At 35.2% G+C, this 25389-nt stretch overlaps 1 protein-coding gene and 1 pseudogene across 5 annotated transcripts in view; one reads left to right on the forward strand and one right to left on the reverse strand.

The window, feature by feature from the left end:
* ATP11B (ATPase phospholipid transporting 11B (putative)) overlaps positions 1-25389 on the forward strand; it is a 128126-nt gene that overhangs the window by 34458 nt on the left and 68279 nt on the right. For 4 of the 5 annotated variants that reach the window (XM_047447784.1, NM_014616.3, XM_011512593.3 and 1 more), the window contains exons 3-10: positions 159-248; positions 1711-1791; positions 8074-8181; positions 8381-8509; positions 9110-9213; positions 14114-14161; positions 17497-17561; positions 20515-20596. In XM_047447784.1, the coding sequence (XP_047303740.1) occupies positions 159-248; positions 1711-1791; positions 8074-8181; positions 8381-8509; positions 9110-9213; positions 14114-14161; positions 17497-17561; positions 20515-20596 (707 nt within the window). Of the gene's footprint in view, positions 1-158; positions 249-1710; positions 1792-1961; positions 2042-8073; positions 8182-8380; positions 8510-9109; positions 9214-14113; positions 14162-17496; positions 17562-20514; positions 20597-25389 lie in introns of those variants that run through there. The other variant, XM_011512597.3, reaches the window with a different exon arrangement.
* EIF3EP4 (EIF3E pseudogene 4) lies at positions 15612-16659 on the reverse strand (annotated as a pseudogene).

Consider the following 25389-nt stretch of genomic DNA (forward strand, 5'->3'; position numbering starts at 1 on the left):
GTCCTGAACTCTAAAAGCCAGATGGTTTCTGTAGCATATAGACTTACAGAATTTTGTCTAAGGGGTTAGTAAAACCGATTTTACTTTACTTCTTAATATTATGTCTATATACTTGATATTATTTTTAAATATTAATTTATTGATCTCTTTCTTTTTAGTACACTGTGTGGAATTTTGTTCCAAAAAATTTATTTGAACAGTTCAGAAGAGTGGCAAACTTTTATTTTCTTATTATATTTTTGGTTCAGGTAAGCTTTATTACTCAATCTTAAGTTTGTAAACATAGTTTCTAAAAATATGTCTTGGAACAAAGAAAAATTACATTGTGTTGCTAATCATTTGACCATGTGACCATTTTTTCTGCAGTGCTTCTGCATTGTATTCAGTGAATACAATGATCTGTCATATCTAGATTTCTAAAAGAAATAGCCTGTAAACTTTAAGATCAATTGTATATTGTTTCATCAATAATGTGCTGTAGTACTTAGATTAACCATAATCTTAGCTAAGAGTGTAACCTAATATCTTTCAGATATTCTGCCTCAGAACATAAATGTTTAGGCTTTTAATATATAGTTCATATTTTCGGTACATTTCTGCCTGTGGAATCATCTTTGTACAAAGTAAACTTTTCTTTGGCTTTTAATTTTTTAATTTAAATTTAACTTAAATTTAAGTTATTTAATAAGAATTGTAATTTTTAAGTATCCCTGTGGGTGAAGTTTTTTTTTTTTCCAGGAGACTGTTTTCTTTGCTTAAGTCTGTGTTTATTATAGGCTGTTAGACAGTTTCTTAATTTTCACCTTGTGCTTAAAAAAATTATATATGTATATAAAATCAAGAGAACTTGAGTATAAATCAAGATTTTAAAATAGTGATGGCCATTTTCCTTTAAAGAAGTTATTCTTTTCCGATAAAACTTGGCAATTTCAGTGTAGCATCAAATATATAAACTCTGAACTCTTCTCTCAGTAGAACCTGGGATTTCAAATGAAAAATTGAAACTTGTCAAATAATCATTTTAATGCTTTAGGAAACATTTACTTTTTAAAAAGAAAAAATTGCTTTCTTTCATGAACAGACAAGGAACTTCTGATTTTCTGCCCATAGACCGTTCGCTTGGCTTTCTTGGAAAAGCAAGAAATGTATGCTAACCATATCCACGTAACATCCATACATTTGTGAAATCACTAGCTAAGATGAATTCAGCTTGTCCATGGAATAGAACAAATTTAATGGGCCTATCCGGAGTAAAGGAACATCATTTTCCTAGTTATCCACCTCTGGCTCTGTTGGATGTAACAAAATCACTTATAGAAAAAAATTCTTTCCATAGTCCCATTCCTAGTTTTCTTTCCCTAGTGTTGATATCATTCTGAATCCAAGGGTAAAAATTGCTGACAGACTCTTCAGCATTTATCAGGATGTGCAAAGAAATGTGAAACGAGATCTGAGTAGCTGTAGTTCCACTCCTTGGCGAATATTGAAGAACTTTGTGTTTAAACAGAGTTGCTGAGTCCAGTCTAGCCATGTATGTGGATAGGCAATAGATTTAAATAGTCTTCCAACCCCACATAATAGCCAACAAAGTGAAGTTGTGAAATCGTGAACTAAAGTATACTCACTGTGTAATGTGAAATTTTAGATGTTAATAGTGTGATGTGCACAATATAAAAATATAATATTCTGTATTCTTTTTTATAAATCTAGCTTATGATTGATACACCTACCAGTCCAGTTACCAGTGGACTTCCATTATTCTTTGTGATAACAGTAACTGCCATAAAGCAGGTATGAAATACTTTCTTTTTTTAATTTTCCTCTAAGTCATTTAGAAGTTGCTAAATATTTCCACTCCAAAGTAACATTTATTGTTGTGAAAATAATTTCCATAAGAAAGCAGCAAATTTGTCTGATACGTAGTAAAATTAAACTGAATTAGCCACTCTGTTATATTTCAGGTACCTGGTGACTCATGGAATGATTAACATCGTTAAAATATGTAGTTCCCTTGACAGAGCTAGAAAGCATCCAAAAACAAGTATTGTATATGTATAAACCATTTATATATGAAATAGATTTCTTAATTATAATCATCTTTGTAGAGTTTGGTGATATTTAAAGGAAATACAATTCAAAAGAGATATGTTTATAGAGAGCAGGGTATATACTTCTGGTGTGAACATTTGTGAGTAAAAACTATGTAGTTCAAAAATTAGGGTGTGGTAGCACATACCTGTGGTCCCAGCTACTTGGTGGGCTGAGGTGGGAGGAACGCTTGAGCCCAGGAGGTAGAGGCTGCCCTGAGCCGTGATTATGTCACTGCACTCCCACCTGGTTGACAGAGTGAGATCCTGTCTCAAAAAAAAAAAAAAAAATGTATAGTCCTTTTCTGCTGTTTACAACTTTCTCTTATGAGTTTAGTTTTTATGTATTTTCCCCCTGGGGAAATATTTTCAATCAGAGCATGAATTGACATTAAAATCTAGTTACAGAGAAACAAGGTTATTAGATAAACATATAGAATAAGAAGGAAATTCATAGAAATGTCCTGTTGATTTAGCTACTACTTCTCAAAAAGGTCTTGGCAGGGTTTCAGTTATACAGAGATGATTCCTTCCACCTGCAAGAGAATTAACTGAATTTTCTCAGGCAAATGTGAATTTTTCATTTTATAAGATGTAGGGATAAGGCATAAATTGACATGGAAATAAAATTGACAAACATTTTACAGTTCTGGGATGAAGTATATTCTTTATTGCATACATAAGAAAGATAGAGGAGCCTATAGATTAACAATTAGATTATGCATCTACATGTCAGAGAATACTAGGCCACAGCTCTAAGTTCGATTTTACTTTCTTCACTTTTCCATTGGAGATTAAAATGTGTGTATATCAGTCGATATGCATTTAAATCACTCCATATAATTATTCACCTGATGAATATTTACTTTGATGAAATAAATGACAAACAGATGTCATTTATTTCAACAAAGTAACATGTTTGTCCTTTGGACCTCGTTTCTATATATACTTTCACCTTAGGTAATTTCATCCCATCCAGCAGAATGAAGTTACCATCTCTATGATGATGGTTCCCAAATTTATGTTTATCCTGAAACTATTCTTTGAACTCCAAACACACATGTACAACTGTTTGTACAACATTTCAACTTTGTCATCTCACAAGAATCTCAAACATGACTCGATTTTTTTCCCCCTCAAAAACTATACTACTAGTTCTTGTTATTCTGCAGTTTATTAAATGGCACTACCATCCAACCACCGCAAGCCTTGACATCATCATCCTTTGACTGTTCTGTTTTATCCCTACCTTCAAGATCTCCCTCATTAGTCCAAGCCACCATCATCTTTTGTCTGGACAATTGCATTCTTTTCTGAAGAGTTCTCTCATTTCCGCTCTTACTCTCCTATGGTTTTCACAGAGCAGCCAGATTGATCTCTTAAAATCAGATCACACTACCCTCCCACTTAAAGCTACTGAACAGTAGCTTTGCATCACCACTTTGACCAAAACATGTCTTTTCAGTGATCTACAAAGACATAAAGACGTACAGAGTCTAGACCCTGGTTCCTTCTTCATTTCCTACCATTTTTTTTTTTAAACTCACTGTGCTGCAGCTACACTCCTCTACTTGTCCTCGAACACAGTAAGCATGCTCCTATCTCAAGATTTTATGACTTGCTGTACTTTCTTCCTGGAAAGTTCTTCTGCCAGATAATTGCATTCTCAATTCATTTTACTCTATACTTAAACTTTGACCACCATGCCACTCTTATTTCTTAGTCTGTCCTTTTTTTCCTTCATATCATTTATTCTTTTGTTCTATTGATAAAAGTTGGTATTTTAGTTTATCCGTCACTTTCATTTGAATGTCTAGCTCTACGGTGCCAGATAATTTATTCTATATACCTGCTTATTTCCCATTAGCAGAACAAGACCATGCACATATTGGGCCTTCAGTAGTTGTTTAACAGATGAATAAATGAATGAATGAACTTATTGGATATTTTTAAAGCCATGTAAAATGTTGCAATACCTCTTGTCCTTATTTCCCAATGTATATTTGGCCAAATATGGACTGCATTTAACTGGAATATGATACCATTAACTGAGTTGAAAAAAAGTTGGTGAATTTTTATCTACAAGTAAGAGTTTAATATAATCATAATAATAATTGACAATCAGTCTCCTTCCAAAATTGGTTTAAGTAAAAGTGAATAAAGGCAGAAAGCAAAAAGGTTATGCCTAGAACCTGTGTTAGTATGATTATTAAATATGAGTACTAAATTTAGATGAGAGCTTCATAACTAAGGCAAAAGGGGGAAATATAAAAGGTCATATAGTTTTCAAAGAGAAAATTTGAACCACAAAGATTTTCTCCTTAACTCAAAACAAAATTTTGACACTCAGAGTTTTCTCTTTTGCAACAACTATTCCTAACTTTTTCTCATTTAAATACACAGAATACTTCCATATATTGTTCAGATTTATGTATCTATTTATTACTGTAGATCAATAGAACAAATTTTGGAAAAACTGTAAAAGTGAAAGTTGCCATGTTCCAACCTTTCTTTCTTGTCTTCTCCCCTTTTAGTCTGCCTTTTCCCTTTGTACTTCTATCAAAATAGGAAAAGGCTCCATTATCAATTACTTACACTTTAATATGAATGAGGTTGTCAGTTGTTTGCTTGTTTTTAGCTTCTCCCAACTGTATTTACATATTAAGTCTTCTCTCCAATTGTGTAATGCAAGATACAGTGCTGTAGGAAATAAGATAGTCTTTGCCCTCCACGATTCTAAAACCTATGAAATAGGAAGGTAAGACCAAATATAAAAATAATTATGGTTCAATAGAGTAGTAGTAAAATCCAGTGAGCTGTAGCTAGCTATTCAGAGAAGGAAGGGAACACTTCATCTGGATGATCAGAGACGGTTTTGTGGAGGAAATATTATTATTATTATTTTTAAATAAATTTAAGAATTTATTCAAGTAAGGGTCATATTTCAAATCAGTAGGTAAAATATCAGACAATAAATTGTGATATGATAATCACTTGAATATTTAGAAAAAATAGTTGGATTCATACTTCATACCATATAGGAAAATAAAACATTTGGATTACTAAGCTGAATATACATAACTACAAAATAATAGAAGTAAATACAGATGAAATTTTATCTCATTTTCAATTTGGGAATTAATCAGTTAATCTACTGGTGTAAGAAAGGAAAGGTATCATATAGGAAAAATAAAATGTGAGTGTTTAAAAGAAGTCTGAATAATATTAAAAGCAAAAATGAAACTGAAAAATTTGTGTTCTGTGTAACAAAGGGCCTATGTCCTTAATTTTATCTTTTTTAGAGTCTCATTCTGTTGTCCAGGCTGGAGAGCAGTAGTGCAATCAGAGTTCATTGCAGCCTTGACCTCCCAGGCTCAGGTGATCCTTCCACCTCAGCCTACCAAATAGCTGGGACTACAGTTGCGTGCCACCACACCCAGCTAATTTTTGTTATTTTTTTTGTAGAGACAGGGTTTCGCCATGTTGCCGGGTCTGGTCTCCAACTCCTGGGCTCAAGCGATTCTCTCCCTTCGGCCTCCCAAAGTGATGTAATTACAGGCTTGAGTCACCACGCCCAGCTGATCTTAATTTTAAAAGATATTTTACCAAGAGCACATACCTAAATAAGGAAAAGGCATGGATCATCTCCAAGAAAAGAATTGCCAAATTGCTGATAAATAGATGAAAATATGAATTCTCATGGAGGAAATATTATTGAGTTTTGGAATATGGGTAAAATGACAGTTGAGGAAGAAGATGAGGTAGAAATGAACTACTTGGGCAAAGGCCCAAGTGCAAGAAAAGGCAAGACCTATTTTGGGGAATTGTAAGTCTAACTAATGTTTGATCCTATTTAGGAAAGTACTACAAGGTAATAGAAGTATAGGTTGGTTCTAAATTAAGGAAGCCAGAAGATGCTTTGTTGTAAGCATTGAGAATCACTGAAGGGGTTCTGAGCAGGATAGTGAATCAAGACAATGCTTTGGGAAGATTAATCTGGCAGTAATGTGTAGGATGGATTAGAATTTATGAGCTTGTATTAAAAAAAGATGTTTGAATTATCGTTGCTCTGCTATTAATGTCATCTGACTGTAAAGAAAAGTGTGCTTTTGACAGTTTCAGAAAAAATATTTTGACTTTCAATTAAATTTCTCTAAAATGACATACTGCAACTTAAATAAGGCCAACATAATTTAGGTGTCTTAAGAGTGCTTTCCCACAAGGTTTCCATCTGAAAACAGTATACCTTCAAAATAGTCTTTCATATTTTGCTTTTTATTTTATAATTTCATAATATTTTAAAAATAATAGATGCACATTTTTTTAAGGGAAACAGCACAAAATAGAATATAGTAAGTCTTAGACTCCTAACTCCCAGTCTCCTAGTTCTCCTACCCAGGGAGCAATTATTTGTAAGTTAGTCCAGATATCTATGCAAAGTGTTCACATAGGCAAGCATTTTTTTTCACAAATGGTAACATAGAACAAAACCTATTCTGTACCTTACCTTTTTATTCACTTACTCTTTCTTAGATATGATTCCATTATCTATACTTGTGCCGTATCTCTGAGTTCTTGAATTTTCTTAAAATGGCATAGGAAGTCTTTTCCACTTAAAAGATCGCCATTCCTTAATATTTAATCAAAAGATTCTTTGTGAAATGCTTGTGTCTGTTTCCTTCCTAGTGATGATCCATACAGGCTAACATATTTTTGTTAAGCACAATTGACCCTTGAACAATGCAGGGATTAGGGGAACCCCTTATGCAATTGAAAATTCATGTATAAGTTTTGACTCTCCCAAAACTTAACTACTGATAGTCTACTGTTCATCAGAAGCCTTACCAATATCATAAGACAGTCATTTAACACATATTTTGTGTGTTATATGTATTATATACTGTATTCTTAAAGTCAGCTAGAGAAAAGAACATGTTTTTAAGAGGATCATAAGGAAGACAATATATTTACTATTCATGAAGTGGAAATGGATCGTGTTTAGGGTCTTCATCCTTGTCTTCACATTGAGCAGACTGAGGAGGAAGAGGAGAGGTTGGTCTTGCTGTCTCAGGGGTGGCAGAGGTACAAGAGGTAGAGGAGGTGAATAGGGAGGAAGATGATTTAGGTACACTCAGTATAACTTTTAGTGAAAACAATCCGTGTATGAGTGGACCTGTGCAGTACAAACCTGTGTTGTTCAAGGGTCAACTGTACTAATTATAATTCTGTCAGTCTGTTGTTTAAGAAAGTAAAAGAACACAATCTCAGTTCCAAAAATCTGCTCATTTTTTTCTACTTATTGTCTGTAATGCTCTGTGAATTTATACTTTATGATTAAAATATCATTTGTACATAGAAACAATAGAATTTAGTGATTGCATAGATGTTAGGAAAAGGGTAGGAATTAAGAATGACTCCCCAGATTTCTGGCAAGAACAGCTTGGTAGATGGTGATGTTATTTGTCAAGATGGGAAACATTGGACATGCAGCACACTTTCAGGACATCATCTGTTTGGTTCTGAATATGTTTAAGACATTTATGAGACATCAAAATTGAGATATTAATAAAGCAATTAGGTATTCAAGTTTGGAGTTCAAAAGAGATATATGGCTGGAGATACACATTTTGGAATTACCAGCATATTTATACTATTTGAAGACACAGGGATAGAAGAAATCTCTTAGTGAGAAAGAGGAATGTGAGAAAAGGATCCATAAAGGTGACATCGAAGGAGCCTCCTTAAGGAAATTGAGAAGAAATAACTAGAGGTCCTGTGAAAGCCAGGAAAATGTATATGACAAAAAAGAAGCAAGTGTTTCCAGTAGGAACAAATATCAGATACCTATGAGCATGTGCATCCAAATAGCCTCATATGATTCTGGAATGTAGTGTTCCAGGGAAGTTTTTGAGTTTTTTTTCTTATTTGATAAAAGTATCTTCAAATTATACTGAAAAATTATTTTTTACCCTTTGGATATTTACAGGGATATGAAGATTGGTTACGGCATAACTCAGATAATGAAGTAAATGGAGCTCCTGTTTATGTTGTTCGAAGTGGTGGCCTTGTAAAAACTAGATCAAAAAACATTCGGGTATGCATCTGGTAAATAATGGAAATCAACTTTATCTTGATATCACAGGACATAATTCTAATCTTGATATTACGTTTTAGTTAAAAGCCTACTTTCCTATGCTAAAATACTGTGATAGGCTGCTTCTTTAGAGCCCAATAAAAGTAAGTCCTTGCCTTTTAAAATTTATAAATTCACTCTTCCCCAAAATTCTTTATAGGTGGGTGATATTGTTCGAATAGCCAAAGATGAAATTTTTCCTGCAGACTTGGTGCTTCTGTCCTCAGATCGACTGGATGGTTCCTGTCACGTTACAACTGCTAGTTTGGACGGAGAAACTAACCTGAAGGTTTGCTTGCATATGTTTGAGTATTGCTCTTGGTGAACAAAGTGTCTTTGGATTATAATTATACTTAACTTTGGTTAAAGTAGTAAAGTTTGACCAGATTAAGGGGAAGTTTTTAAAATTACTATTTCAAAAATAAAAAGGTTTTAAGAAAGAATTGATGTTATATCTTTATTTCAAGGGTAGCCTCACATGGGTTTAATCCAAGTTAAAAACAGAAGGTGTTTTTAGGAAAAATATAATCTTTTACTATTTGTGGTACTTTTAAAAGATAAGGGACAAATTTATATTTTCTCAGTTTTCAGAGGGTAATCAAAGGTGAAAATTCACAGTTTTTCCTATTAAATTACTTATGATAAAGTAATAGTGACTATGCACACAGACTTAATTTCCTTATGTGCAAATGGCCTCTTTAGACAGGTAATGATAGTAGCTTCCTTTGCCCCTTGTTTATTTTACATGTTTCTTTCTCTTCTGTTGTCTAGCTGAGTGATCTCAAGTACAGTATGCCATTACTTTACCTATAAAAGAGATTTGAAATAACTGATATTGAAGGTCGCAATTTGGATCTGAAAACTCTACAGTTTAATTCATTTTTTTCAGACACATGTGGCAGTTCCAGAAACAGCATTATTACAAACAGTTGCCAATTTGGACACTCTAGTAGCTGTAATAGAATGCCAGCAACCAGAAGCAGACTTATACAGGTATGGTGTGATATTCAGTATACTTATTTTAAGTCCTATTTACAGACCTCATTTTTAAATAACCATAAACATAAAATGAAATCTTTAGCTAATTGGAGACTGTATTTGTGGGGTGGGTTGGTGGGAGATGCAATTAATGGTGAAAAAAACTAAGAGCAGAAATTGCTAGAATTCTAAGCAAAAGATAATAGTTCAAAGCCAGAGTTTATATTCACAAGTTTCTTCACATTACCTTCTATTTTGCTATGAACTAGCATGCTCACTTTGTAGCTATAACAGTAGTTATAGTAGACATAAGATTATTTTCTTAGAAGAAAATAATGATTTTTTTGGTAAGCTCCATGAAGCCAGGGACTATGTCTTTGTTTTTACCACTATAGAGGATACTGCTTTTAAATTAGAGGATACTACTTTTAAATTATAACCTTATAAAGTTTTCAATATTTTACTTACACGCACATAATAAAGTAAAAAATAATTTTCTATAAATATATAACAGCTATGAGTTTCTCAAAGACAGAAACTATTATTCATCTTATTATCTATCACAGTGAACACAAAATAAAAACTATTTTTCTAGTTTGTTAGATTTTTAAAGATCTTGTTTCTGAAAGGAGAGAAAGGAACAGAGGAACTAACTGCTTTTAACATTACAGTTTGCTAAACACAGTGTTGTATACCTTCAGTGATCATCTTCAGTAATCCTACCAATTATATGTGGGCTGTGGAATGGAAACAACTTTTTATTATTAAAAAATTAAACGATTAACTAAGTTCATTTTTACTCAATAAGTGGTGGTAGACTATAAATTACAGCAAATTTGTAGAAATCACCCTCAGCTTCTTGTCATATTATATATCTCCCCCTGTTGGTTGAAATGTTTCAAAGTCTTTAGCCGTTGGCTTTTCCAAACTTACGTATCTTTTTTTTGGATCCATCTTTATAATGGAGGTTTTCTCTATGTGATGTTATAAAAATTGTATACTTTCATCAAAGTCAAATGCAGTATAGAATTTGCCAAATAACTAAAAACTTTGGAATCATATGCTTTAAAAGCACTTGATAGACTGACTGTAAGACATTTAACTGTGAAGAATTTTAAGATTTCTATATTGCTGTTATATCCTGGTCTGAGGCAATGGCAGATTGTAAAATAATTATTAAAAACCAGAAAATGGACAACTAAGAACTAAGCAAGCATAAGATTAATATGAGATGAAGTATAACTAATGCTTTGGTGTATGGTTTTTACATTATCTTGGAACATGGGGAGAAAGTTTGAAAAAACTTTTTTAAATAAACACTTTCTCTTATTGGAAGTATGTGTTTTGTTTTAAATATAAGTAAAATGTAATCATTGCAACAGGCTTTTATAGTAGAAAGAAAACTCGTAATTATATCACTACTTAAAATCTTTGAATGCCATTTTTATTCATTCATTCATTTAACAAATTATTGTTTAGCATCTGTGTGCTCATTGTGATAGGTGAATAAGATGAAAAGGAATAGTTTCCCTCCTTGAGGAACTCATAGAAGTTAGAGACAGTATTTATATAAAATTATATCTTTCATTTTATTATGTGCTTGTAACACATATATGTGCTATATATTATATATATATATATACACACACATATATTACATGTGAAATATTGCAAACATTTTATATGTCCAAGTAGGAAAATGCTTAGATAGGTATATATGTAGATATTTAAAATCTTTTTAAAGAATTGAATGATATAGGTACATACTGAAATATAATGTTAAATGAAATAAGATACAAAGTTGGGGCTCTCATATGATCCCAGTTATGTAAAAATAATGTGTGTGCAATAGCAAAGACATGGAATCAACCTAAATGCCTGTCAGTGGCAGATTGGATAAAGAAAATGAGGTACATATACACCACAGAATACTATGTAGGCACAAAAAAGAAAGAGATCACGTCTTTTGCAGGAACATGGATAGAGCTGGAGGCCATTATCCTTAACAAACTAATACAGGAACAGAAAACCAAATACTGCATATCCTTACTTATAAGTGGGAGCTAACTGGTGAGAACACATGGGCACAAGGGAACAACACACACTGGGGCATACTGGAGGATGGAGGGTGTGAGGAGGGAGAAGAGCAGAAAAAATAACTGTTGGGTACTAGACTTAGTACCTGAGTGACAAAATAATCTGTACAACAAACCTTTGTGACACAAGTTTACCTATATAACAAACCTGCACATGTACCCCTGAACCTAAATGTTTAAATAAATGTGTGTATATATGTACTAAATAGGTAGTTAGGTGACAAGATGGAATCATTGATAGCTGCAGAAAGAAAAACCTGGAGGAATTGTAGATCAAAATTTAGTAATATTCTCGTGGTAGGATTTCTACTGATTTTTAATCATCTTTTTCTTTTCCATTTTTTAAATATTTATTTTATTTTATTTATTTTTGAAACAGTGTCTCGCTCTGTTGCCCAGGCTGGAGTGCAGTGACGCGATCTTAGCTCACTGCAACCCCCGGACTCCCGGGTTCAAGCAATTCTCCTGCCTTAGCCTCCCAAGTAGATAGGATTATATGTGTGTGCCACCACACCCTGTTAATTTTTTTGTATTTTTAGTAGAGATGGGGTTTCACCATGTTTGCCAGGCTGTTATCAAACTCCTGACCTCAAGTGATCCGCCCACTTCAGCCTCCCAAAGTGCTGGGATTACAGGTGTGAGCCACCCCGCCCAGCCTAATATTTCTTTTAAGAATGTGGATTGGTTTTGTGATTTTAAAAAGTATTTTCCATTATAGTGAACGGTATTCTTGACCTTTTTTTAAATATTGCAGGAAGCTGAATTAATGATCATTTTAAATGGCTATGAATAGTCCAAGTGCATGTACTAGAACCTAACCATTCCCCAACCTTTCCATACTTGACTCCTTTCGTTGTTTTGCTGTTTCAAATACTGTATGGTACCTCATTACAAGTAAATTCACCAATTCAAAATCTAGTGGTTGAATAGTTCATTGCTTTCTCCTCTTTGATACAATTTGCTAACTTGTCTTCCAGGACACTCCCCTCTCTTGGTTTACCTCCTACCTCACTATTCCCTCTGTCTCAGTCCCTTTTGCTAGTTTTTCCTCTTGTCCCAGTCTTCTTCCTGTTAGAGTGCCCCAGGACTTGCACTGTTCCTTCTCTACCTTACCTTTCGCTATCTACCCTCACTCCCTTGGTGATCTCACCCAACCTCCTGGCTTTAAAGACTGTCTACATGCTGCTGACTGTCGGATTTATTTCTCTATCCCAGACTTCTTTCCTAAACTTCAGCTGCCTGTTCTACAGTTCCACCTGGATATTTAGTAGAAATCTCAAATTAATAATCAAGCTGAAAACTAAACTGCTAATCTTCCTGAAAGAAACCTTTTCTACCAGCAGTCTTTCTCATCTCAGTTGATACAGTCCATCCTTCCAATTGCTCAGGCCAGAAACCTTGGAATCAGCCGTGACTCCTCACATCTCCTCTCCCTTCGTCTTTCTTCACCTCCTTACTCACATCTCACCCCAACCCATCAGAACATTCTGAAGGCTTACCTTCAAAATACATCCAAAATCTGACCATCTTTTCCTAGTTTTGTCTGAGCCAGTACCATCTCCTGCCTGGATTACTGCTATTTTATAGTCTGTTCTCACAAAAGCAGTCATAGTGTTCCTTTTTAAATGTAAGTCAGATCATGTGACTCTTCTGCTTAACCCTGTAGTGGCTCACCATGTCACTCAGAGTCAAAGCCCATATGTCTATAACCATCTCTAGGATCTGCCCCCATCCCCCATCCCCAACCTTTCTTCTCTGCCCTGTTTGCTGTCCTTCCACCTCTAGCTCATCCTGCCCATACACTGACCTCCTTAGTTTTCCTTGAACATACCATGTCTACTCCCACCTGGTCACTAGACCTAGCCCTTGTCTAACTCTTGAGTAACACCTTCAAGTCTGCTTAAATCACCTCCTCAATGGAGGCCTACCTTAACTACTTAGTACGCACGCTGATCCTTCTTATTCTGTTCTGCTCTTCTGTTTTCATAATACATAATATTTTCTAGTATACTGTGTAATTTACTTTTTTATTATGTTCATTGCTTACCATCTCTCCCACTAGAATGTAAACTCTAGAGCAGGCATCTTTGTGTATTTTGTTCACTGATGGATCTCAAGCACCTAGAACAGTATCTGTCATCTTGCAGGCCTTACTGTGTATTTGTCGACAGTTGATAGAGTAAACATTGTATACCCTTTGATTGAATTACAGGTTGAATATCCCTAATCCAAAAATTCAAAATCCAAAATGATCCAGATTCTTGCCATTTTGAAAACATTTATTCATTACCTCATTCATAGCTGGAGTAGAGATAGCAAGAATTCTAAATTTTTTAAAGCTTAAGGACTGATAAGTGTTTTTAAAATGATTTATAGCAAGAATATTGGACCATTCATATATACAAATGGTTGATTTTTGTTTCATGTGTAAGAATGGTGCAGGCCGGGTGCAGTGGCTCACACCTGTAATCCCAACACTTTGGGAGACCGAGGTGGGCGGATCATGAGGTCAGGAGATCGAGACCATCCTGGCTAACATGGTGAAACCCTGTCTCTACTGAAAATACAAAAAAATTAGCCAGGTGTGGTGGCGGGCACGTGTAGTCCCAGCTACTCGGGAGACTGAGGCAGGAGAATGGCATGAACCCAGGAAGCAGAGCTTGCAGTGAGCCGAGATCGCACCACTGCACTCCAGCCTAGGCGACAGAGCAAGACTCGTCTCAAAAAAAAAAAAAAAAAAAACAAAGGATGGTGCAAAAAAACAGCCATTGATGTCATAAGTGATATTATATGTTTTTGTAATGTGAATTTTTTGATAGATTCATGGGACGAATGATCATAACCCAACAAATGGAAGAAATTGTAAGGTAAGAATTAATTTGTGTTATCTAATTACCTTTAAATGGGAACTGTTTGGGGGAGGGACTAGAAGTTCCAAAGGGAGATTATGTAAATAAGCAGCCCATCATGGGAAAGGGTTAATTTTGTTGTGTTTTGTTTGTTTTGTTTTGTTTACATTTAGTGGTTTATTATATCACTTCAGAATCATTCAGTGCAAGCTAGAGTGTTTAGTGGTCAACCCAGAACTGCTTACTTTTCTGATTGGTTTATCATATCCTTTATAATAAACCACTAAATGTAAACAAAGCATACAGATGAAGAGATGCTCAGGGCCAGATACTGGGGAAGGGTTGTGGAGCTTCCGTGCTCTCCCTGGGCGTGCCACTCTCCAGAAACCTCTGGAAGCCCTCCCATCCCATTTCTCTTGGTTTTTTTATGGAAGCTTCATGACATCAGCTTTCTTTACTCCAGAGTATAGGGCAGGAAGGACCCTCTCTGGGGATGGCCTTAAGACCCACAATTAGAAAGGTGGGGGAAGAGTAGAGTCCTACCTTGGGGTGAAAGGAGGGCAGGAGAAGGTCAGAAGCCTGCTCCTGAGGCTGAACACACCCAACATTATAACAAAAGACTGTAACAAGGGCTATGGGAGTTATGAGCCAGGGACCACGGATGAAAACTAATGTATGTATCATAACATCACAGGCCATCCCCTAGTTTTCAAACACAAATCCCTTACATCAAAAGAATATACAATTCAGAAGATATTGCCACATTACTAGAATCCCATTCAGTTGTTAATAATTAGTCCAGTCTATCATAGTGGATAAGTATCTCTCAGAGTAAGGTCACTCAGGTTTGCAGGCTTCTTACCAGTCCTCTCAGATTCCAAAAGCAGCTGTGGTCTCAGCAAACAGACAGCTTCACTCTTTCAGGCATCTGGTATTATTGAGCTAAGAGACAATGTAATCTCTTGCTCTGAGCCTCTTTCAAGGTGTTAATGTAATGTTAGATTTCCCTCAACTTGTAACCCATTTATTCATTCATTTACCCTCAGCTATTATTTCTCCTTTTCTCCATTAATACCCAAACTTTTCCAGGAAAGGGTTAATTTAAAAGCACTTTGCATTTCATCTGCTAGTAATTTGTGGCAGCAGCAAGTGAGGATGAAACAAATCCCATGAAATGATATCAGAATAATTTAGTAAGATTATTTGTGTTTTTGCATTTCTTTTTCTGATAATACTAGGTAGTAATATTAAAAGGAAACATAGCTGCTTTTTTGCACTCCTTATACATTTAAACCGACGATGCCTAGTAAGTCTAGAATATGAAAAATGTTTTATATGATGTTTAACAAGTATAAGTGCTATGCTCTTCTTCACTTCAGAATCATTCAGTGCAAGCTGGGGTGTTTAGTGGTCAATCCAGAACCGCTTACTTACTTTTCTGATTTTTATTTTTCTTGGTTGTTTCAGATTGTTTTCCCTCAATATTTGGGTTAATGAATGGCTCCTAAATGAAAGGCTTTGTGTCAGTTCAAAGACATGCTGATAGGATATGATTACGTTGTTACTCATGAGCGTTAACCTTATTTGGAATCAATCTTGGAATCAGCTCTTGAGTTTCTAATCGCATTTGACATTCTACCTCTTTTCTGGGGACATGTTCAGTTTATACTGGCTGCATGAAATAAGTCACTATAACAGAAAGAGTTGAGCATTTTTTAATGAAATCCTCAAGACAAGCCAGCAAAAATACCATACATTCACATTGATTCACATTTTTAATAAGCATTAACATAGGAGCATGTTCAGTAAACACTGTAGCAAGATCTTTGTATGTGTACGATCCCTGCTGAATAACTATGCCTAGGTTTATTTTGATTTTTATAGGGAAATAGTGAGAAATGTGTGGATACATAGTCTGAGTTGCATTAATATGTAAAGGAAAATAGCAGTTATATTACTTCAGCCCCTAGAATGGTTAAAAAAATGAACCATGTTCTCTACTAAAACAACCTGACCAAACTGATGAATTATCTTTTAATCTGAAGTTGTCATTATATCCCAATTTTACATGCCAGTGTGAGCTAAAAGTATTTCTGTTTATTGTTAGAAGCAACACTGAGTGAAAAAGAGCTATTTTATAGCTCCTAAAATAGTTTTCATATTGATTTGGACTATCCATGGAGTGTACTCCAAATATGACTGTATTGGTTCTCCTTGCTTCATTGCAATTTTTTACAGTGTTTGGGTTTGCAGGTGTCTTCATAAATGGTTCAGATTCTGTTTGGTTTGGATAATTGTGTATGCATATTTCAGAAAACTATAAGGAATAGCAACAAAATAATTGCTTTTTAACTTTTCCATAGAAGATTCTTATTTTGCTATCACTAAGAAGATCAATTTCCTTTCTAGTTATTCCTTGTCGTTTTATATCTCCTTTATGGAGAGAAATTCAAACAGCAAGAAGACCTGTGCTTCAAGAAGTATGCAATGCAAGTAGTCAAGTTATACTGTGCGATCTTGCCTAGAAAAAGCACTAACATACCTTGTACTTTGTATTTTATAATTCAGTATAATTGTGCAGAATTCATCCATTTATATGCAAATCATACTATAGTTTATGTTTACGTTGTGTTCTAATTCTTTATTTTCCCTTTCAAAGCTGTTTATTAACTTTGCTTTAAAATTTTAAAATTTCATCTTCTGCCACACATTTTTAAATCGCTGCTTACTCTTTGATTTTGCTGAATTTTATGTTTAAAATTTTGAAACTAGTGGCTTTGTGACTGTATTTACATGCATAATCATTTTTCTGAGCCACTAATCTTAAAGCAGGTATTTGTTGTTACAGTAACTAACATCATGATTAGCCTAGGCAGCCTTTTTTTTTTTATTTTTTTTTTTATTTTTTTTTATTTTTGAGATGGAGTCTCACTCTTGTCACCCAGGCTGGAGTGCAGTGGCGCAATCTCGGCTCACTGCAACCTCCGCCTCCACGGTTCAAAAAATTCTCCTGCCTTAGCCTCCTGAGTAGCTGGGACTACAGGCGCATGCCGCCACGCCTGGCTAATTTCTTTTGTATTTTAGCAGAGACGGGGTTTCACCATGTTGCCCAGGCTGGTCTCAAACTCCTGAGCTCAGGCAATCCACCCGCCTCAGCTTCCCAAAGTGCTAGCATTACAGGCGTTAGCCACCACGCCCGGCCCCTGGGCAGCTTTATAGTAGCTGGGATTTTGGTTTTATATGAAAGTGGTGTTATGGCTATAGCTTAAGTACCTTCTGCTGAAGATGCCATTTCAGAATTGAAGAGTTTTTAATATATTCAGTGCTTTATGGTTATTTTCTTTTTTTCCTAGACCTCTGGGGCCGGAGAGTCTCCTGCTTCGTGGAGCCAGATTAAAAAACACAAAAGAAATTTTTGGTTTGTACATATTTAAACATTTTAAATTATTGATTTGTGTTGATGCTTTATATGAAGTACTTTTAAAAGTACAATGTGGTCTTTTGGTTAGATAATTTATTAATTATTTGTCATTTATGATAATTTTCTTATAAAGTTTGTATTACAGTAGTCGTGTATTGAACTTTTGTTTTGTTGATGATCCCTGTTTTTTAATAGTAGACTAGAACCTTGATCTTATGTTATCTTTACGGATACTTGTGAAACTGAGTGCAGATAATTTATATAACACTTCTAGTAATGGTGGGTGAGAACCAATATAATATGGTATCATGGTACAGTAAACCACTTCTATAATTTCATTATGATTATTAGATTGGATTAATAACTGCAGATTTATCCATTCATACATTCATTCAACAAATTTACTGATATCTGAATATATACTAGGTACTATTGGAACATACACTGATTGGATCAAAAGGATGAATAAGTACTGCTCTTGCCTTGGAGATGGATCAAAAGGATGAATAAGTACTGCTCTTGTCTTGGAGATCTAAATTAATACAGTACACTCTGAGTCAACTATAAGCAAATTGTGAAGTTGATGATAACCTTTAGCTGTTAGCTAGCTCCTCACATTTCAGGAATGGCCCTTAGTATCTTGGCCCACTGTGTTACCCACTGGCTGTCTGCAGCTTGTGAGATCTTCTTTCCCATTTGCTCTTTTTCTGTTACCTGTACTATATCTTATCTCTCAGTGTTAGACTCTCTGATAAAGAAGTCCATATGTCGAGAAAAAAAAAAAAACACAAAATAGCAAGTGTTGGTGAGGATGTGGAGAAATTGGAACCCTTGTACATTGCTGATGGGAATGTAAAACGTTGCAGCTGCTGCCTTGAAAAATAGTTTTGGCAGTTCTTCAATAAGTTAAATATAGAATTATATGACTTAATGATCCCACACTACATATATACCCAAAGTAACTGAAAATGAGTGTTCAAACGAAAACTTCTACAAGAATGTTCATAGCAGCACTATTCATGATAGCCAAAGGTTGGAAATAGCCCAATGTTCATTAGATAATGAATGAATAAGCAAAATATGGTATATCCATATAATGGAATATTATTCAGCTATAAAAAGGAATGAAGTATTAATGCATGCTACAGTATGGATGAACCCTGAAAATACTATGTTGAGTGAAAGAAGCCAGACACAAAAGGCCACATGTTGTATGATTCCATTTATTTGAAATACCCAGAATAGGCAAATTCATAGAGACTGAAAACAGATTAGTGGTTTCCAGGGGCTGGGGAGTAGAGGAGAATGGAGAATGTTTGCTTAATGGGTACAGGGTTTTCTTTGGGGGTGATGAAAATTCAAAATTATAAACGTACTAAGTGCCACTGAATTATACACTTTAAACTGGTAAATACATATGTTTTTCCACAATTAAAAAGAAATCTGTAAAAATATTCTAATAGCAGAAACCAGAGTAAACCTTGAGGGCTTTTAGATCCTCTAATATAACACTGTACTTTAAAACTTTTTTTTTTTTTTTTTTTTGAGACATGGTTACTCTGTTGCCCAGGCTGGAGTATAGTTGCACGATCTCGGCTCATTGCAACCTCTGCCTCCCGGGTTCAAGCAATTCTCCTGCCTCAGCCTCCCAAATAGCTGAGATTACAGGCATGTGCCACCATGCCCGGCTAATTTTTGTATTTTTAGTAGACCACGTTGGCCAGGTTGGTCTCGAACTCCTGACCTCAAGTGATCCACCTGCCTTGGCCTCCCAAAGTGATGGGATTACAGGCGTGAGCCACTGCGCCCGGCCAACACATCTTTCTAGTAGTAACTTCGTCACTCCTGTTTACTTTAAAGTAAACCATAATGAATGGGGTCCAAATTTTGTACACTCTTAAAAGAAAATGTGAATTTGAATGCCTTTAGATGGGTCTGTCTTCTGTTGTTTTGCCTCAGTACCACCTCTCCCTATTGGATCATTCTGGCTATTTTACCACGTTTCTATAATCTCTATTTGAGTTATAATACCCTGCCTTTAAGGAATAAGTCAAGATAAAACTTCCAGGACAAATATTTAGGAAGAGGGCATGAAAGGTTCTATATTGCTTTTCAAATTGTACTATTTAGGGATGGGAATGAATATTTATTGATCATCTCTCAGTTTTTAGGCATTTTGTTAATTTGTCATACAGACCTCACAACTCTATGAGGTATTTTTTCCCATTTAAAGATGGGAAGATTGAGACTCACAGAAATTACTTACCCGAGGATGTAGAACTAATAAGTGGCAGAGCTAGAATTCAAACCAAGGTCTAGCTGCAAAGTTTTTTGATAAGCTGGTCTCACCTAATTCCATTTGTTGTCCAGTTTTAGTCCCATTACTACTGTCATCCTTGCTCATCTCAAAGTCATTCAATAGGCGCACATTTTTTAAATAGCACTTTCCATGTGCTTACTTGATTTACTCTGACAGACTTCCATGTTATCTCTCCAATGGTTATGGAATAATGTCTAGACCCCCGATTCCAGCATTCAGGGCTTTTCACACTGTGGCCATAGTCCATTGTCCCAACCTAACAGAAAGTGCTTTTCCATATCTGTCTTTGTTAACACTGCTGTATTTGTAATGGCCTTCCCTGACACTTTTATCTTTCCAGATTCTTTTCCTCTATCAATTCCAATTCAAGTAATAAATTTTTCATTCAGGTATCTGTTACAACTCAGGAACAGGACTCCATGCCCTCCCCCATTTAGCCAGTTGAGTGACTGGGGCTTCCCAAAATTGGACTCAGAAAGCCTTTTAGTACTCTGAAAATACTTAAAGAAAAGCAAAATTATAACAACTGTCAGACAGTACACTAAAAGCTTTCATGCTGGTAAATATATTTATTTCTTGTGAAACATGCTAGAGGATTATTTTAAGAGACAATTTTGTTTTATTTTACAGGTGTTGCGGTATACACTGGAATGGAAACTAAGATGGCATTAAATTACAAGAGCAAATCACAGAAACGATCTGCAGTAGAAAAGTAAGAAAACTGTTTTCATTTATTTATATGTAATTATAACTCTACATTTTTTATTCGTTTGGTATAAAATATTATATATATAATATATATTAAGTAAACAGAATGAAAACCTTGGGGACAGTGATAGTTTCTTATATTTTTACATACAAGTAACATTTTGCACAGTATTGGACATGTAGTAAATGCTCTATAGTATGACTTTTAAAATAAATACTATTGAATAAATGGTGGAATCACTTAATCACACTAACGCAGATAACAGTTCTAAAACTGAAAAAAAAATTTAAATAAACAACTATTTGAAAACATTGGAGACAAACCAGAATCGAATAGAAATGGGCAAGGAGTGTAATCCTGAAAGATGATAGCAGCAAGGGGGAAAATTTAAGAGTATAGCTTTTTGCCTGAGGGCACTCCCCAGTTTATGTGCTGCTTGGGACATCAAAAAGTCTGAACTTTACTGGATAGAAGTATCAGAGGACAAGGTTAATAGCTGGAAGAGCAGCTGGAAAGTTAGGGGAAAATAATGTAAGGGGATTAGCATTAATTCCCTTCTGTAAGCAATGAGATGTAAGCTACAGAATGGAATTAACTCTAAAAACTGCACATAAATTCTGCCCAGGTCCTTGGCTGACTGCTAGAACTATACATGTGCAAGGGAGACAAAAGAACTCAACAGAATTTTACTGCTGCCCATTGCATTGGAGACACAGTTTGTTGAACTAGGTGAAGTTAACTTCCTACTGGAATAAAAATAGCACTCTTCTGAGGAACATAAAAGAATACAGACTGTCTACAATGTATTATTATGAAGTCCAGTCTGCAATAAAAAATAAGCAGAATATGAAGAAAATGTAATTCATCCATAAGATAAAAAGCACTCAATAGAAACTGTCTCCAAAATGATCCAGATCTTGCATTTAGCAGACGAGAACTTTAAAGCAGATATTATAAATTTATTATAAACATGTTTAAGGGCCTAAAGGAAAATTTGAATGAACATATGGGAAAACACAGCAGAGAAATGAAAACTCTTGACTTGAAAAACATAATTACTAAAATGGAAACATCATTAGGTGGGTCTCAACACCAGACTGAATAAATCAGACCAGTGAACTTGAAGAAAACACAAATTACTCAGTCGAAGAATGGAGAGGAAAAAAGATTAGGAAAAATGAACAGAGCTTCAGAGCCATGTGGGATAATATTAAGCTGTTTGGCATATGTGTAATTGATTCCCAAAAAAAGAGAAAAAAGGACAGAATAAAAATATTTGAAAAAATAATGACTGAAAATTTCTAAAATTTGAGGAAGAAACTTCAGCCTACGCTACCAAGATCAGCAAACTCTAAGCAGGAAAAATATAAAGAAATATAAAGAAACCCACACCAAAGCACATCATGGTCAAAATACTAGAATCCAAAGAAAAAGAAAATATTTCATGGAGCCGAAGAGAAATGCATCACATGTAAATGAATAACAATATAAGCGATAACCAGTTCTCATCAGAAACAACGGAGGACATTGGGGAAAGGACATCCTCTTCAGGAAATGATGCTGGGAAAATTGGATAGCTACATGCAGAAGAATGAAACTGGATCCCTATCTTTCACCATATAAATAATCAACTCAACGCTGAGCACGGTGGCTCATGCCTGTAATCCTAGCACTTTGGGAGACCAAGGCAGGAGGATCACTTGAGGTCAGGAGTTCGAGACCAGCCTGGCCAACATGGTGAAACTCCGTCTCTACTAAAAATACAAAAATCAGCCGGGTGTGGTGGCGGGTGCCTGTAGTCCCAGCTACTCAGGAGGCTGAGGCAGGAGAATTGTTTGAACCTGGGAGGCAGAGGTTGCAGTGAGCTGAGATCACGCCACTGCACTCCAGCCTGGGCAACAGAGCGAGACTCCATCTCAAAAAACAAAACAAAACAAAAAAAAAGTGTATCAAAACCACAATGAGATGTCATCTTGCCAGCCAGAATGGCTATTATTAAAAAGACAAAAAATAAATAAATAAATAAATAACAGATGCTGGCAGGGATATGGAGAAAAGAAAACTCTTATACGTGGTTGGTGGGCATGTAAGTTAGGATAGCCACTATGGAAAATAGCCTGGAGATGTCTCAAAAAACTAAAAACGTAATTACCATATGATCCAACAATCCCACTACTGGGTTTTATCCAAAGAAAAAGAAATCAGTATATCAAAGGAATATCTGCACTTGCATGTTTATTGCAGCACTATTCATAATAGCAAAGATAAGGATTCAATCTAACGGTCCATCAGCAGACGGATGGATAAAAAAATGTATACATACCTAAAAAAAAAGGTATACATACCCACACAATGGAATACTATTTGGCCATAAGAAGAATGAAATCGTGTCATTAGCAGCAACATGGATGTAACTGAAGATCATTATGTTAAGTGATACAAGCAAGCACAGAAAGACACTTCATTAGTGGCACACACCCGTAATCCCAGCACTTTGGGAGGCTGAGGTGGGTGGATCACTTGAAGTCAGGAGTTCAAGGCCAATCTAGTCAACATGGCAAAACCCTGTCTCTACTAAATATGCAAAATTAGCTGGGTGTGGTAGTGTGCGCCTGTAGTCCCAGCTGCCTGGGAGGCTGAAGCAGAGAATTGCTTGAACCCAGGAGGCAGAGGTTTCAGTGAGCCGAGATCGCACCACTGAACTCCAGCCTGGGTGACAGAGCGAGACTCCATCTCAAAAAATAAAAAAAGACTCTTTATAAATATTTTTCAAAGAACCAACTTTTGGCTTTAATTTTGTGTATTTTTTTTCTCTTTTCCATTGCCTTCAGCTCACATCTTCAATTAATTTCCTCCGTTTCTTCTCAATTTGGGTCTAATTATTTCTCTTTAACTTCTTGTGATGCTAGATGAACTCAAATGATTAATTTTAAGCTTTCTTTTTCCCTTACATAAACAGCACAAAAGATGATGGGGGGCTTTAAATGAACTGTTACAAAGGTCTTACATTTTACATGAAATAATACAATAGCATCTATAAATTACAATAAGGTAAAGATGCATATTCTGACCTCTAGAGCTTCCATTAAAAACAATAAGGCAAAGATTTATAGCTAATAAGTTAGAGCAACTGAATATTAAAATGTTTGGTAAACACAGTAAACAGCAAGAAAGGAAGAACAGCGAAACAAAAAACCAAATGAGAGAATAGAAAACAAATAGCAAAATGGTGGTCCGAAATTTGACCAAAAATTACATGAGATATAAATGCATCAAACAGTCTAATGAAGTCAGAGATTGTCAGATTGGATAAAAGAGCCAGACCCAACTATATGCTGTCTAGAAGAAATACAGTTTACATACAAAGATATAAATAGGTTGACATCAAAAGATATACTATGTATATTGTAAGCCTATGAAAACTGAACACTAGAATAGTTCCATAATTATACATGGAAAGTTCATCTAGACAGATCATATGATGTGCCATAAAACCAATCCCAAAAGATTGAAATCATACAAAGTATGTTCTTTGACAATGAGGGAATTGGATTAAAAATCAATAACAAAATCTGCAAATATTTTGAAATTAAAAAACAACTCTTTTAACTGACTCATGGGTCAAAGGAGAAATCACAAAGGAAATTTAAATTTCTTCAAATAGAATGGTAATTGAAACCCAACACATCTACATTTGCAGACTCAAGGCAAAGCCCAGCTTAGAGGGAAATTTCTAGCTATAAAGTTGACAAATTCCTGCTGAGATTGACAGATTAAGCAAAAGAGAAGTGGTATAAGAGAAAAAAACTAAAAAATTACGAATGTCAGGGATGAAAGAGGGGATAGCTCCATAGATGCTACACATATCCAAGGATAATAAGGAACTACTGTGAACAACTTTTTGTCACTGACTTTTACAATTTAGATGAAATGGGCAGATTCTTTGAAAACACAGGTAACTTACCAAAATTGGCCCAAGATGAAACAGAAAGTCTAAATAACCCTTAAGTCTGTCAAATAGCTTTAAGTTATTATTTAAAAATGTCTCCACGCTAAAGATTTGCCTTTTCAACACATGGTGCTAGAACAGGTGGACGTCTGTATGTCAAAAATTCAATCTTCACCCTTACCCGTCTCCCGCATATACAAAAACTGACTCAAAGTGTAAGATCTAAGCATAATAACTAAATCTGTAAAACATGGGAGAAAATCTTTGTGACTTTGGGTTAAGTAAAGATTTCTTAGATGGGAAATGTACGGAAAAGGAACCACCAAAATTGATAGCTTAAACTTCATCGAAATGTAAGACTTAAACACTTAAAAAGGCACTGTTTATGTTGTGAAGATGCCAGAAACTAAAACAAAAAATTTAAAAATACAAGCCATAGACCAGAGAAAATGTCTGCAAAGCATATATCTTGTAAAGGACTTGTACCTAGACTATCCAGTCTCACTACTTTTTAACATTATTCTAGAAGCCTCATTCAGTGCAACAAGTTAAAGGAATTAAAAGCCATAAGTACTAGAAAGCACGAAGTAAAATTGTCCTACTGGAAGACACATGATTTTTCATGTAAACAGACATAAGTATTCAATAAGAAAACTATAATAAGCAAGTTGGTCTCAGAATACAAGGTAAATAAAGAGAAACCTTTTTTATTTTTATTTTTTTGAGACAGAGTCTCACTCTGTCACCAGGCTGGAGTGCAGTGGTGCGATCTCGGCTCTCTGCAACCTCCGCCTCCCGGGTTCAAGCGATTCTTTTGCCTCAGCCTCCCGAGTGGCTGGGACCACAG

Source organism: Homo sapiens, chromosome 3 (assembly GCF_000001405.40).
Source record: "Homo sapiens chromosome 3, GRCh38.p14 Primary Assembly".
NCBI classification, from domain to species: domain Eukaryota; kingdom Metazoa; phylum Chordata; class Mammalia; order Primates; family Hominidae; genus Homo; species Homo sapiens.